General features: G+C 45.4%; 1 protein-coding gene across 1 annotated transcript in view, besides 3 other annotated features; it reads right to left on the bottom strand.

The window, feature by feature from the left end:
- TRAM2 (translocation associated membrane protein 2) overlaps positions 1-13,491 on the bottom strand; it is a 79,653-nt gene that overhangs the window by 29,327 nt on the left and 36,835 nt on the right. Inside the window, exon 2 of the mRNA NM_012288.4 lies at positions 9,049-9,112. Coding sequence (NP_036420.1) covers positions 9,049-9,112 — 64 coding nt within the window. The remainder of the gene's footprint in view (positions 1-9,048; positions 9,113-13,491) is intronic.
- Positions 10,236-10,285: an enhancer, noted in NCBI's record as "active region_24681". NCBI's record gives its function as "activates an Ori minimal core promoter by ATAC-STARR-seq in GM12878 lymphoblastoid cells {active_cell/tissue: GM12878}" and the evidence as "EXISTENCE:reporter gene assay evidence [ECO:0000049][PMID:35858748]".
- Positions 10,466-10,555: an enhancer, noted in NCBI's record as "active region_24682". NCBI's record gives its function as "activates an Ori minimal core promoter by ATAC-STARR-seq in GM12878 lymphoblastoid cells {active_cell/tissue: GM12878}" and the evidence as "EXISTENCE:reporter gene assay evidence [ECO:0000049][PMID:35858748]".
- Positions 10,806-10,865: an enhancer, noted in NCBI's record as "active region_24683". NCBI's record gives its function as "activates an Ori minimal core promoter by ATAC-STARR-seq in GM12878 lymphoblastoid cells {active_cell/tissue: GM12878}" and the evidence as "EXISTENCE:reporter gene assay evidence [ECO:0000049][PMID:35858748]".

Genomic DNA, 13,491 nt, shown 5'->3' on the forward strand with positions numbered 1-13,491 from the left:
CTCCCTGTAGCTTTCCAGAAAGAAATATACAAGGATTCCTAGGTGCCAGGCACATACTACAGACTCCACTGTACTTCAAAGTTCTGTGGCTTCTGCATACAACATCGCCTGGGCATGACACATGCATTCCATAGGCTGCCTCACGTGAAGAATGCTTACAGCTAGGGGAAGGTGTGAACTTTTTAAAATTCATTGAGAGCTATAAAGAAAAAATAATCTCTCAAGAATCACATACAAAAAAATTTTTTTTAATTAAGGCTTTTTTTTTAAACTTACAGAAAAAATAACAATTTCAACAAACCCACTGTTAAATTGACAAAAATTATTTCAGTCAAAACAACTGATTAGAAAAAAAAATTATCCAGCTGGGCATGGTGGCTCACACCTGTAATCCCAGCACTTTGAGAGGCCGAGGTGGCGGATCACTTGAGGTCAGGGGTTCCAGACCAACCTGGCCAACATGGTGAAACCCATCCCTACTAACAATACAAAAATTAGCCGGGCGTGGTGGCGGGCGCCTGCAGTCCTTGCTACTCGGGAGGCTGAGGCAGGAGAATAGCTTGAACCCAGGAGGTGGAGGATGCAGTGGGAAGAGATTGTGCCACTGTACTCCAGCCTGGGCAACAGAGCAAGACTCTATCTCAAAAAAAAAAAAAGAAAAGAAAAGAAAAGAAAAAAATTATCCTACCTAGGTAGAAGAAACGATTTGATCAGGAGAAATAGGAAAGTGAAATTCAAGTAAAGATGTGGGGTGGGGTCCAGGTCAGAAAGGGTGCGGGGTGGGGTGGGGTGGGAGGAAGAGCAAGATGATTCACTAGGAGAAGACATTTGGGGGCTCAGTGCAGCAGTTCAAAGATGTGGGTCAGCAGGTGCTGGCCACCGTTCCCGCTGACTGCAGGCTTCAGGCTGGTTAACAATCAGCCACAGCCACTCTGTGGTTCTGCTTATTTAAACTGCCACAAGCTCCACATGGAATGGGATAAATTATCAGAGCTACGACAGGGAATTGCATAAAAATCAAGCTGCGTCTGAAGAAGACACTTCTAGGTTGCACGGAGGTGTTCAGTGTGTGAAAATTCATTGAGCTGAACACATGATTTGTCCACCTTTCTGCACAATTGTTACACTTAATAAGTTTTAGTTATTGGAAAAAAAAATCAAGTCCAGGGCTGGCCATAAGACCTGGGTCAGAGGCTCCCCATTCTTTTTCAGATGGCCAACCAATAAGGCCAGGGACACTGGGGGCCGTGGTTTTTCTCTTATTCATACAAACAGAACCTCAGGGCCAGAGAGCTTTGTGGCTGTTTGGCTCAACAGGGCCAGGACAGAGCCAAGTCTCTACCTCCCTGGTTGGGACTGCCTATGCCCACTGCCCCATTTGATAAACCCAGCTTTTCTAAAGCTTTCCAGAACCCTGGTGCTGTACAGGTGTGAGCACCCCAGCCCCTCCTTGGCTCTCGCTGGTGCATCCTTGGGAGCACCAATCAATTCTCTGAGCCTCAGTTTCCTTGGCTATAAAAGGAGCAGGCCAGACTAGATGAGTCTCAAGTCTCCTCCAGGTGTATGGGCCACAGATTAGGTAGCTTTCATCCGTAATCAAGTATGGCTTCCATCTCCAGAGCCACCGCTGCCCACCTGTCTCTTTCCTTTCTTGACCCCCATGAGCTCATCTTACAAAGAGGGGCTCAGCTTGATAAGTGATGTCAATCTTTCAAGTATATGATACAAGCAGGAGACAACACTAATTCCTGCCAACCAGCAAAGGGAACAAGAATCATTTTGAGCCCTGGAAAAAGGCCTTTGGCTGAATGAGGCTTTAAAACCATCTGTCTGAGGTTGTTTTGACTGCAGCAAGTCTCATCCTAGAAGAGGCTGCGAGAACAATGGCCAAGCTATAGTGTAGGAGGTTCTCAGGCCTTTCATCTCTGGCTGCAAAATGCAACAGAGCAGATGGTAGTAATAAAGCCAACTGGGATCCTCAGGGCTCTGGGATGGATTCTTGTTACCTTTGATCACTGTAAAACAAACCTTTCTCTGGAAGAGTTCCCTCAACCTTAGCCTTGGTGTTCTAGGTGTGCAGCAGCAGGCAGGCTGAGCAACATCAAAGCTACCAGAACTTCTGCTCACACTGCCTTACAAACGTGTACATGACTTTTTTTTTTTTTTTTTTTTTTGAGACCGAGTCTCGCTCTGTCACCCAGGCTGGAGTGCAGTGGCGTGGTCTCAGCTCACTGCAACCTCCGCCTCCTGGGTTCAAGTGATTCTCCTGCCTAAGCCTCCCGAGCAGCTGGGACTACAAGTGCCCACCACCACGCCCGGCTAATTTTTTTGTATTTTTAGTAGAGATGGGGTTTCACCGTGTTAGCCAGGATGGTCTCGATCTCCTGACCTCTTGATCCGCCCGCCTCGGCCTCCCGAAGTGCTGGGATTACAGGTGTGAGCCACCGTGCCCAGCCACAAATGTGTACATGACTTCTTAGGAAGCTGTATAGCACCAGCTGGAAACCAACTCCACCAGTGATACTCCCCACCTCCCCCCAGCTTTCCCAGACCAAATATTTATAGAAAAACAAAAACTAGAAAAGGACAGAAAGATGCAAATGAGTTACTGGGTTTAGGGGTTTCCCTATCCTACCTTTGAGGTTAGAAGTGTAGGATTATTTGAAAGCCTAGAGATTTTCGCCCACCTCATTTAAAGCCGTGCTTCTCGGGCTTTACGGGGCACAGGAATCTCCGGAGCTCTTGTTAAAATGTAGGTTTTGATGCAGCAGGTCTGCGGTGGGGCCTGAGAGTGTGTTTTTCTCACAGGTTCCCAGGTGGTGCCGATGGTGTTGGTCTACGGAAAATCTGAGTAGCAAGCCCTTCAGAGGACTCCCAGGGCTTCCTGTCTACAAGAACCACTGGGGCTGAGGGAGTGGTCATCACTCTGGATTTTGCAGATGCAAGATGGAGATCCAGGTGTTAAGTGTTTCACCCAAGACCATTCAGCGTTAAGTGTTTCACCCAAGACAATTCAGCAAATTAGTAGCACAACCCAAGACAACCTTGTGGCTAAATGCTTAGCCCATTTGGGCTCACCTGTTCTAGATCAGAAAGGAAGCCAGCAGGCCTGGAGTCTGCCTGTGGGAAGAATCAAACTTTTCTTTTCTGGCCTTTATAGTCTATACATTTCTGATCACACACTAGATACTTTGTGGTAGTTTAATTAGAAAGAAGACTCAGAGTGTGTAATGGTAAGACCAGAAAACACATATTTTATTCCTTGCCAGAACCGAGCAGGGTGGATGGTTGTGGCCAGTTAAATTTGAATTTCAGATGAATGATGATTAATTTTCTAGTATAATGCTATCTCATACATAATTTGGGACGTAATTATACTTTTAAAAAGATATTTATTGTTTATCTGAAAATTTAACTGGCAGTCCTGAATTTTTATTCGCTAATAGAAAGGCAAGCAGGAATGAGGAGAGCAGAAGTTAGTAAAGGAATATTTCCTGCTTCATCACTGTTGTCCTTAAAGAAAACCTCAAGGACGCCAGGGTGGCAGGGGCTCCACCAGGATGCATAAGATGCATCACTGCCACTACTGTGTGCATCTCTCTGAATGAAGCTTAATCTTTTTAACCAGCTGATTATAATGCACAAAATCATAAATTTATAGCTGGTGTTGTGAGCTAAACTTGTGTCTCCCTCACCTCCACCAAAACTCTTGTTGATGTCCTAACTCCCAGCATCTCAGAATGTGACCTCATTTAGAAACAGGGTCTCTGCAGATGTAGTTAGTTAAGATGAGGTCACCGTGGAGTAGGTTGGGCCTCTAATCCAATACGACTGTGTCCTTATGAAAAAGAGAAATTTGGACACACAGACTGACACGCACACAGGGAGAAGTCCGTGTGAAGACTGACACTTCACACGCGAAGGAACTACCAGAAGCCAGGAGGGAAGCCTGGACTAGATCCTTCCCAGAGCCTTCCAAGGAGCGCGGCCCCTCTGCTGGCCCCGTGGTCTCGGGATTCTAGAATCCAGAACGCTGGGATGGTAAATTTCTATTGTTTCAGCCACTAGGTTTGTGGTACTTTTGTTACACCGGCCCTAGGAAACTAATACTGGGAGCTGGGAAGACGAGAAAGGAGTATAGAAGAAGAGGGAGTTACAGCAAAACAAAACCATCAAGAAAAAGCCTCATCCACATTACTTATTAGCTTTGTTCCTTAGAACTTGAAAACATCCGCTGAGGAAGACACAGGGAGTTGGAAATGATGGACCCCCTTGTATGAAAACAGTTACTGGCTCTACTAAAATTCAGTTTTAAATGTTGAGTTGAGCAAGCTATACACTACTTAAGGAAGAAACCTTAGAAGTCAGAATTTACCCTGGTTATGCAAAAAAAAAAAAAAAAAAAAGGTACATTTCCAAGAGTAGAGTACGATCTAAGGAGATTTTGGGGAGGGTTTTAAAAATCACAACCTTAACAGACTTGTTATTGTAAAGTGTTTTTTCCCATGAGAAGTTTGCTTTCCTCCAGTTCTTACAAACCAAACATTACCATATTGGGTTAGTGATTAAGAAGCTCAAAACAAAATTAAGCAGGCTATCCTGATTTCATTGTCTCTCTTGATTATTTGCTTGTCTTATTTCCAACAGCCCCAAATGGCAAGATTTAAATAAAAGACAGGCTACTTAAAACACTTTATCTTCTCTTGCTAAAGTAACTGAAACCCCCTCCATTTAGCATGTACTTCACTGTACCTTTTCCTCTACCCAGGCCTGTTCTGGGCCTGGAGGAGGATTCCAGGAGCAGAATTCAATAGTGCCACCCTGGGAAAATGCCAAACCCCACTGGTTCCAGTCACGCTGGCCTATGTACAGTTACTAGAACCCCCTGAGGTGTCTGCGCCCTCACTTGAGGGCTTTTGCACATGCTGGTCCATGTGCCCGGAGTGCTTTCTTCTGCCCAGACCTCTCACTCTACTCACAACACAACACAACCCCCACACTCAGAAACATCTTCTGTCGCCACCCCTTTGCTTTTCCTTACCACATAACCTTGTACATTTCCTTCATCACCCTGTTACAACTACAATTTAATTCATTGTTTACTTGTTTATTACCTATCTCTCTCTAATAAATGATGTTTCATGACATCAGAGATCAGATGGGTTCTGGACATTATTTTACACCCAGACCCTGGCTAACAATAGGCACACAAATATTTGCCTAGCTTGATTAATTAATTAAGCAAATGAAGGCATGACATGATCCACAGTGGCACTCCACTACCCCCACTCCGCCTTACTCAAACATTGTAGGAAGCTTTTTCTGCCCAGAGGGTCTGAGTTCAGCTCTAGAGTGTGCTGTCTATGCTTCTCATGCTGTTGTGAGAAGAATGCTTGAGGATATCACTTGTCTGCCAATGTCTCTGGGAAGGTTTCAAACTCAAAAATCAACCCTCTGATCATGATCTGGCTTCACAAATAAGCCCTTCTTATAATAAAAGGATGCCCAATCACATGCACTTCAACTTTTTTGGTCTCCAGGATAATTCTTTCTCATGGTAAATTAGTAAGACAGCTCTGGGTATGTGGGGTATGATCCAGCATCCCCTGTAAGTTGACTTCAGGGAGAAATGTAATGAAAACACCAGCACAATGTTTGATGACTGGCTATCTCTATAGACATTTATAAACTGGTATTCTGATTTTTTTTTAATCCTGTGCATTTTATATTTACAAAACAACTTTAAATTTAGGGTTTATGGGTCATGAGTATTAAATGACAGAAGGTATTTTGGCAATACATACATAAAACCTTTACATACTACTTAACCCAGAAATTCCAGTAATAGGAAGTTATCCTAAGAAAGTCATCACAAATAAATGTAAAAATTTAGCCACAAGAATGTTCACTGTAGTACTATTTACAATAAAAACAGGAAACCTAAATATCCATATGGGGCTGATTGGATAATTTGTGGTAATCCCTATTAAGAAACATCCTGCAGCTTTTCAGAATATCTGGTTAAATGGAATGATAATCGAGGACACACAAAAAGGTTCATCATATTATAAAAACAAAAAATTGTGTTATAAATCAATATTCCAAAACGTTCTAACTTTAGTTTTTTTCTGGGTGATGGGGTCCTGTGTAACTTTTATCTTCTTATGGTTTTCTGTGTTATAATTTTTCTCTAAGAGTTATATATCACTCATATAAATGTATTTTGAAAAAGTGTTTAAGAATAAATTTTAACTAGTCACAAAAGGTCAAATACTATATATGATTTCACTTATATGAGGTACCTAAGGTAGTCAAATTCACAGAGACAGAAAATGGAATGGGGGCTGTTGGGGGCTAGAGGGGGTGGGGAAAGGGGAGTTAGGGTTTGGTGGGCAGAGTTTCAATCTGCAAGATGAAAAGAGTTCTGGAGATAGATGGTGGTGATGGTAGCACAACAATGTGAATGTACCTAATGCCACTAAGTTACACACTTACAAATGGTTACGATAGTACATTTTATGTTATATAGATTTTACAATTTTTTTAAACTAAAAAATAAATCAGTAAATCTTGAGTACAGCCAAGTCTCTGTTATTAGGATTTTCAAGAGGCAAGAGTAAATAAGCCCGGATTTGACTTAGAACACATAGCCCTGAGCCACATCATCCACGTGCCCCCCAGCACTAGAGTGTGCCCTGGGATGAGCGGGCATCTGTCTGCTTCCTGACCACTGGTGCTGGCCACATGTTTCCTGGCCCACTGAGGACAGAGATGCTCTCCAGTCTCTTTAGTAGCATAGAGCTTTCTTCCTCTTTTGCCAATGTCCCTCAGTTTGACTCTCAGATGAAGAAACTGACTTGGTTGCCCCAGAAAAGCATGGCTTCCTTCCAAGCCTGGCCACAGTGACTGCAGGGGATGGTGGGCCCAGGAAAGATTCATGGCTATATCCTCCATGAGCCACAGGTTCAGGAATTTGCCCCCAAAGTCCTTTAGCTAGTAGCTGGCAGAGCCAGACAAGGAAAAGAATCTCACCTTAAAGTCAAGACAAGTCACCTCTCTACTATAAAGAGGAAAAGGCCGGGTGCAGTGGCACATGCCTGTAATCCCAACACTTTGGGAGGCTGAGGCGGGTAGATTACCTGAGGTCAGGAGTACAAGACCAGCCTGACTAACATGCTGAAACCCCTTCTCTACTAAATACAAAAAATTAGCCGGGCGTGGTGGTGCACATCTGTAATTACTTGGGAGGCTGAGGCAGGAGAATCACTTGAACCCGGGAGGTGGAGGTTACAGTGAGCCAAGATCGCGCCATTGTACTCTAGCCTGGGCAACAAGAGGGAAACTCCGTCCAAAAAAAAAAAAAAAGGCTGGGCACGGTGGCTCACGCCTGTAATCCCAGCACTTTGGGAGGCCAAGGTGGGCAGATCACCTGAGGTCGGAAGTTCGAGACCAGCCTGACCAAAATGGAGAAACCCTGTCTCTACTAAAAACATAAAATTAGACTGGCACGGTGGCGCATGCCTGTAACCCCAGCTACTTGGGAGGCTGAGGCGGAAGAATCGCTTCAACCCGGGAGGTGGAGGTTGCAGTGAGTCGAGATCAGGCCATTGCACTCCAGCCTGGGCAACAAGAGTGAAACTCCATCCAAACAAACAAACAAACAACAACAACAAAAAGAATAAAGAGGAAAGAACTAGGTTCAGCAAACAAAAGTCCTTCCTTTGTTCATCAAGAGGCTGCCCAGGACTTTGCCACTGAGAAAGGAGCGATACTCTGGTGCTGGTGGCGGGATCGGAGAACCCCTAAGTTGCAGACCTGTGCCCGAGGGCTGGACTCAGCCTTCAGATGTGTTGGTTTGGTTTACACAATGTTGACCCGCATGGTGTTTGCAGAATTTCTAAATTAGTTGGCAACATTTAAAAATCAGAGTATTTCTACCTAAAAAGAGATTTCTTTGGATTCTTTTGTAGGGGGTGGAAAAGGAAGCTCTTAGGCTCACAGGTTTTACACTCCTATGTGACAATTGGCTGGAAGTGAGCAGCAGCTACTCCTTTAGATAGACCCTCTCCCCTGTCCAGTTCAGCGATTTACCTGCCTGGCCTTGCTGCTCCTTGAGCTGTAGCCCCTCAACTGTACTGGGAACTGCCTGTGAGGCCGCTCTGGTACCTGGCATGATGCTGGCTGGGCTCCCTGTAAGTGCTTGGAAATGCTCAGCCACTATGGGGGAAGCTTGTGATGCAGCAGCTCTAGTCAGTGAGCCTTAACAACAGTCCTGTGACAAGACTTGTGGCTGGGCCTGAGGTTTGGTCCTTACCCCAACCCAGTCAGAGTGCAGCACCCTGGGCCCCAACCATGCTTCCATGCACTATCAAAACGCAACATCCTGCCCATTCTCCTCTGAAAATGTTAAAAGGAAGCCATGCTCTGGAGAACAGATCAATGGTCATGATGCCTCACATCCTGTCTCCAACAGAACTCAATGTTAGATGCTTTGGAGAAAGGAGTAGGAGCTGCACAAAGCACCACGTGGTGCAGCAGGTCCTCTTCTGATGAAGAAGACAGAGAGCAGAAGAGAGGGAAGTTCTTAGCGGTTAATGCTGCACCACTGCAATCTCAGTGGTGGAGGCTGCCAGAGGCTGGTTGAAATATCTAAAAAGATTGTACACAGCTAGGCGTGGTGGCTCATGCCTGTAATCCCAGCACTTTGGGAGGCCAAGGCAGGTAGATCACGAGGTCACGAGTTCGAGACCAGCCTGGCCAACATGGTGAAATTCCTTCACTACTAAGAGTACAAAAATTAGTAGGGCGTGGTGGCACACGCCTGTAATCCCAGCTACTTGTGAGGCTGAGGCAGGAGAACTGCTTGAACCTGGGATGTGGAGGTTGCAGTGAGCCAAGATTGTGCCACTGCACTCCAGTCTGGGTGACAGAGCAGAGACTCCGTCATGGGGGAAAAAAAAAAAATTGTACACAGATGGGGAAAAGGAAGCTTTCCAGGTCCTTCAGGGTTAACAGGGCCAGGAGAAGATGGAGACCAGTGATTCTTACCTGCTGTAGGCACGCTAATGTTATACTGAGGTAAAATAAATAGAAAGGCAGTCTTGGCTGTGACCTGTAAAACAAAGGAAAAGAGTTCCAGTTTAGCTTTTGGCCACATCAAAAGAAACAAGTGGAAGCTGCTAACCGCCCCTTTTACATCTTAGACCCTCAAACCTCTTGACTGAACGGTTCTGCCTAATGCAGAGTTAGCATTAGTTTTTGTTCTATTTTTCTTTAATGACATACCTCTCAATACCTGTACCCTGGGACTCAGATGGTATCTAGACTGGTACTCACTGCAGATGAGATGAAACAAGCTGTGCATGGCAGGACAGGAGCTCACAAGTGAATAGTACAAATTTGTCAGCCATTCGTTCATTCAGATATTTATCAGTTTAGTTCTGTGCATCAGCATTGTGGAAGACAGAAACTAATAAATAAAGTCACAACCTTCAAGAAGGTTAGGACCTAGCTGAGGTTTCCACAGCACTTTGGCTGCCTGTGCATTGGAGAGCAGCCCTGAAAGTCGACACCTGAGCTTCAGAAACAGAGAATTCCAGCTGCTAATTTCACATCTACCTTACTGGGAGGCATGGGGCCAGAAGTAACATCCCACATTCCTGGTTTGTTTATTTCAAAAACTGCCTTTAAAATCTTAGTTGTGCTGTGAAACAAAAAACTGTGGTTGCCACCTAGTTATGAATGGCCAAATCAGTACTGTGACAGTTTAGCCAGCAGGGGAGGGATGACAAAACCTGGGGGTTTGAAGGTTGGACTCAAGAATCGACTACCTGGGTTCAAATGCCAGCTCTGCCATTTTCTTGCTATGTATCTACCAGCAAGTAATCTTATACGCTGAGCCTCAGTCTGCTTGTCCATAAAATCAGGGGTGCTTGTAATACCTCAGCTAGTTTGGGTACTACAGACTGGTGTGGCGCTGGCCCAGCTGCTAGCGTTGTTCAAAGCTCCCCAGAGGTTTCGGATGTGCAGGTGGGCCTGAGAACCACCATCCACACTGTTCTGAAACCTGCAGCAAGGCCAGGTGAGGAGGCAGCCCAGGACCAGGCCTTTCCCAAGGGCCCTCTGGAGACACCTCGTCAATAAAGGGGTGCTGGTTCTTCTCTAACAGAGGTTTGAAGGATGCACATGTGAGGGATAGGGTGGAGGACAAACACACTGGACAGTGGCAAAGGCAGCATGGAAATGAGTGAATGATACATCACAGATGCCCTGTGTTGCCCAGACATGCCAGTGAGAGGTCACTATCCTCAGCTACCTCTAGAGACAACCCTCTCCTTTAAAGAGCAAATCTCCCCACTCCCCTGGTCAACAAGACCCATCCCATTCAGTGGGTGTCATTTACTCTGTACACAGAGATGCAGGACAAGACTTCTCGTGTCTTTGTGCTGCAGCCTTAGACATGTCCTATCAGGCTTGCAGGGAAAAACCCAAATGAGATTAGCTAAGAGGAGTGATAGAAAACACCAAGCCCTATCCGAATATACAGGTCTTCCTAATCCCCACCCTAAAACCTTATTACCTTTGGTCAAGACCTTTTTCAGTGTTCTCGACCTACCTTCCTGTCCAACTGCCTGTATTTTCTTTAGAACAGATGTGCTGGGTTTCAGCCAATATATTCTACTCACCACTTCCTTTGGGGAGTTTTAGCCACTCTCAGTTTGCGTCCTACCTTTCCTATACCCACCACCACACACACACAGCTCTCCTGATTAGAATCTCACACATCCCTTCATGACCCACCTCAATTGTAACCTCTGTGAAGCCATTCCCAGCTGTTCAAGGGGCATGATCTCTGCTTGCCGGATGCACTCTGTGTCATGCTCTGCTGTATTTATCATTTCCATACCCTTGTTCATAGTTCTCATCAGGCTCTCACCTCCTCCACAGTTCTCATCAGACTCCTCACAGTCCCACAGGCAGGGACTGTGCCGTCCCGTTCCCATTTATCCTCGCAGCCCCTCTTACGTAAGGAGCCCAGATGCACACAGTAAGTGCTCAGTAACGGCTCATTGCTTAAGATGAAAAATCAAAAGCCAAGTCAGCTTCACTCAGCTGTACTTATTCCCCCTCTGTCGTGGGAGCTGCCCCCAGTGCCATCATCCAGGCTGTCCTCTACCATCAACGGCCTTCTCTGTGAGACCTTTCCAGGCACTAAGCCACCTGAATCCAGCTCTGCCACAGAGCCCCTCCTGCCCACGCTAGCCATGTTGGCTCTCCCTCTCTGAACTCCACTCATATAGGTCATTCCTGGCCCAACCACCTAACACTTCATATTGTCTGACATGACTCCTCTGAAAATAAACCTCATCTTCTCAGCCTGAAATCCCTGTGAAGGAAGATCAGAGGAGTTGGAAGAAATGAGAGAAAGGAGGAGCCAGGAGAAAGCAGGCAGGCATAAACCAAACACTCTACCCTGCCTAGGCACATATCTCCCACTTGATTTCATTCAAGAAATGCACATGTCTTTTAGAGCACAGGGTGGAGACCTCTGTGGGGCTTGGGTTGTCTGCCATCCATTCTCCTCTCTTAATGGCACCAGGGTTTCCTGAGGGAAGCCTCTCTCCAGCTGTGTGTGGGCATAGGATGTGTGTGGGGTCACTACGGGGGATGGGAGGATGGAGGGGATAGACCCTCTCCTCAGGGCAGGAGCTGGGCCAACCGGACACCCTGCCCTGGGCTCTGGGTCTTGGGCGGGTATGAGGAGGTGCTGCTGGCCCCCACAGAGCCTCCTTCAGTTGGCCAGGGTCCACTTCTAGGACACATTATCATTCAATGGGAAGAGCACTGGTGTTCAACTCCGGCTGCACATTAGAATCCCTGGGGGAGCTTCTAAAATCTCTGTGCCTGAGCCACACCCCAGCCAATTAAACCAGACTCTTTGGGGCATGGGCATTTTGTCAAACTCCCCAGAGCATTCCAATGCGCTGCCAAGTCTGAGAACTTTTGCATTTTTTTTAAAGGAAGATAGACATCTGGTATGTGGGCTCTACATATATTCTTGCCCTCACCCAACATATACAGTTAACTGTCATCATTCACATGAATTATGTTCTCTCAAGTCACTGCAAACACTGAATTAGTGAACACTGAAACCTTGTTCCTGGGAGAAATACAGGGTTAGGTTCCTGCAAGCCTCTGGTCCCATTTTTGTCAACAGATCAATTCATAACCTTGTTTTATGTGTGTTTCTGTTTAAAGACACCTAATTTAACATATATTGTTGATTCATTAACATTGAATTCATGGCCAACAGCGCCATAACTCATGCCAGAATAAAGCTTGTCTAACCACATATGCTATCTCCATGAGGCACATCATAGTCATCCTACGCTTAGGATGCTAGACAGCACTTCTGCATGACAGTTGGGGGCCATTTTTAAATAGTGAAATCACCAAAAAGCAGCAGAAAAATGCAAAAAATGTGGCACTAAAGAGACTACGAAAAGGACATCTGTCTACAGGATGAGAGCCGGAACTGGAGGCAGAGTGTCGCCTTGTTTGGCCTCAACTGGGAATGTGAGTGTTGGGCAACCCAAAAGTGTTTGCAGCTCTGCACATCTCTGTGAATGACCAAAGAAGCTGATTTGGGGGTTACAAATAAATCTCAGCAAGTAAGCGAATTTGCAAAAACAAAATCCACAAATAATAAGGATCAAACGTATCAGGGAAAACCTGAACGTCAGCACCATGAGGGCCAAGATTTTTTTTCTTTTTTAACAACTGTATTCAGGTATAATTTACACAACAAAAAAAAAAAATCACCCATTTTAAGTGTACAGCTCTAAAGCATTTATCTTTATTTTTAAACTGTCTCTTCCTTGGGGAAACATAAGCTGTAGGAGCGTGGGGATCTGACCTGCCTTGATGATCTGACTTGCCTTGTTTGAGGTGCACATCCATGGATGGCTTCAAACTGCCCCAGAACAGAGCGGCACTCAGCAAATGCTTAAATGAACACAGTGACTAAGCAGGAGAGAGTCGGTGCTGTGCTCAGCTATCTGACCCTCATCCTGTCATCTGTCCACGATTATTCTTCTCTGTATGTCTTCTCTCTCTCGGTCTGTCCCAGAGCTGGGTGAATAGTAGGTTTCTCATAAATTCCTATTTGACAAACTCATACTGTAAGCAGCTATAATATTTAGTGACTACAGATGAATGCTTAACATGTTTTCTGAACATGATTCTGAGAGAACAGGATCTACGGCCATAATCATGACAAAAATACTAGATCCCAGTATTTTTCCATCCCTAGCCCCCCTGGTAGTAGCAGCAGAAACCATTCTAAAAAGTGCAACTTTCTCTGTAAACAGCCATGCTTGCTCCCACATTACCATATCTCAACAAGATGGTGTCAGTTTCCCTGGTTTATAGATGAAAAAGCCAAATTTGGGGCACAGAGAGATAAAGTAGCCTCCCGAGACCTCACAACTA

This window comes from Homo sapiens, chromosome 6 (assembly GCF_000001405.40).
Source record: "Homo sapiens chromosome 6, GRCh38.p14 Primary Assembly".
Taxonomy (NCBI): Eukaryota; Metazoa; Chordata; class Mammalia; order Primates; family Hominidae; genus Homo; species Homo sapiens.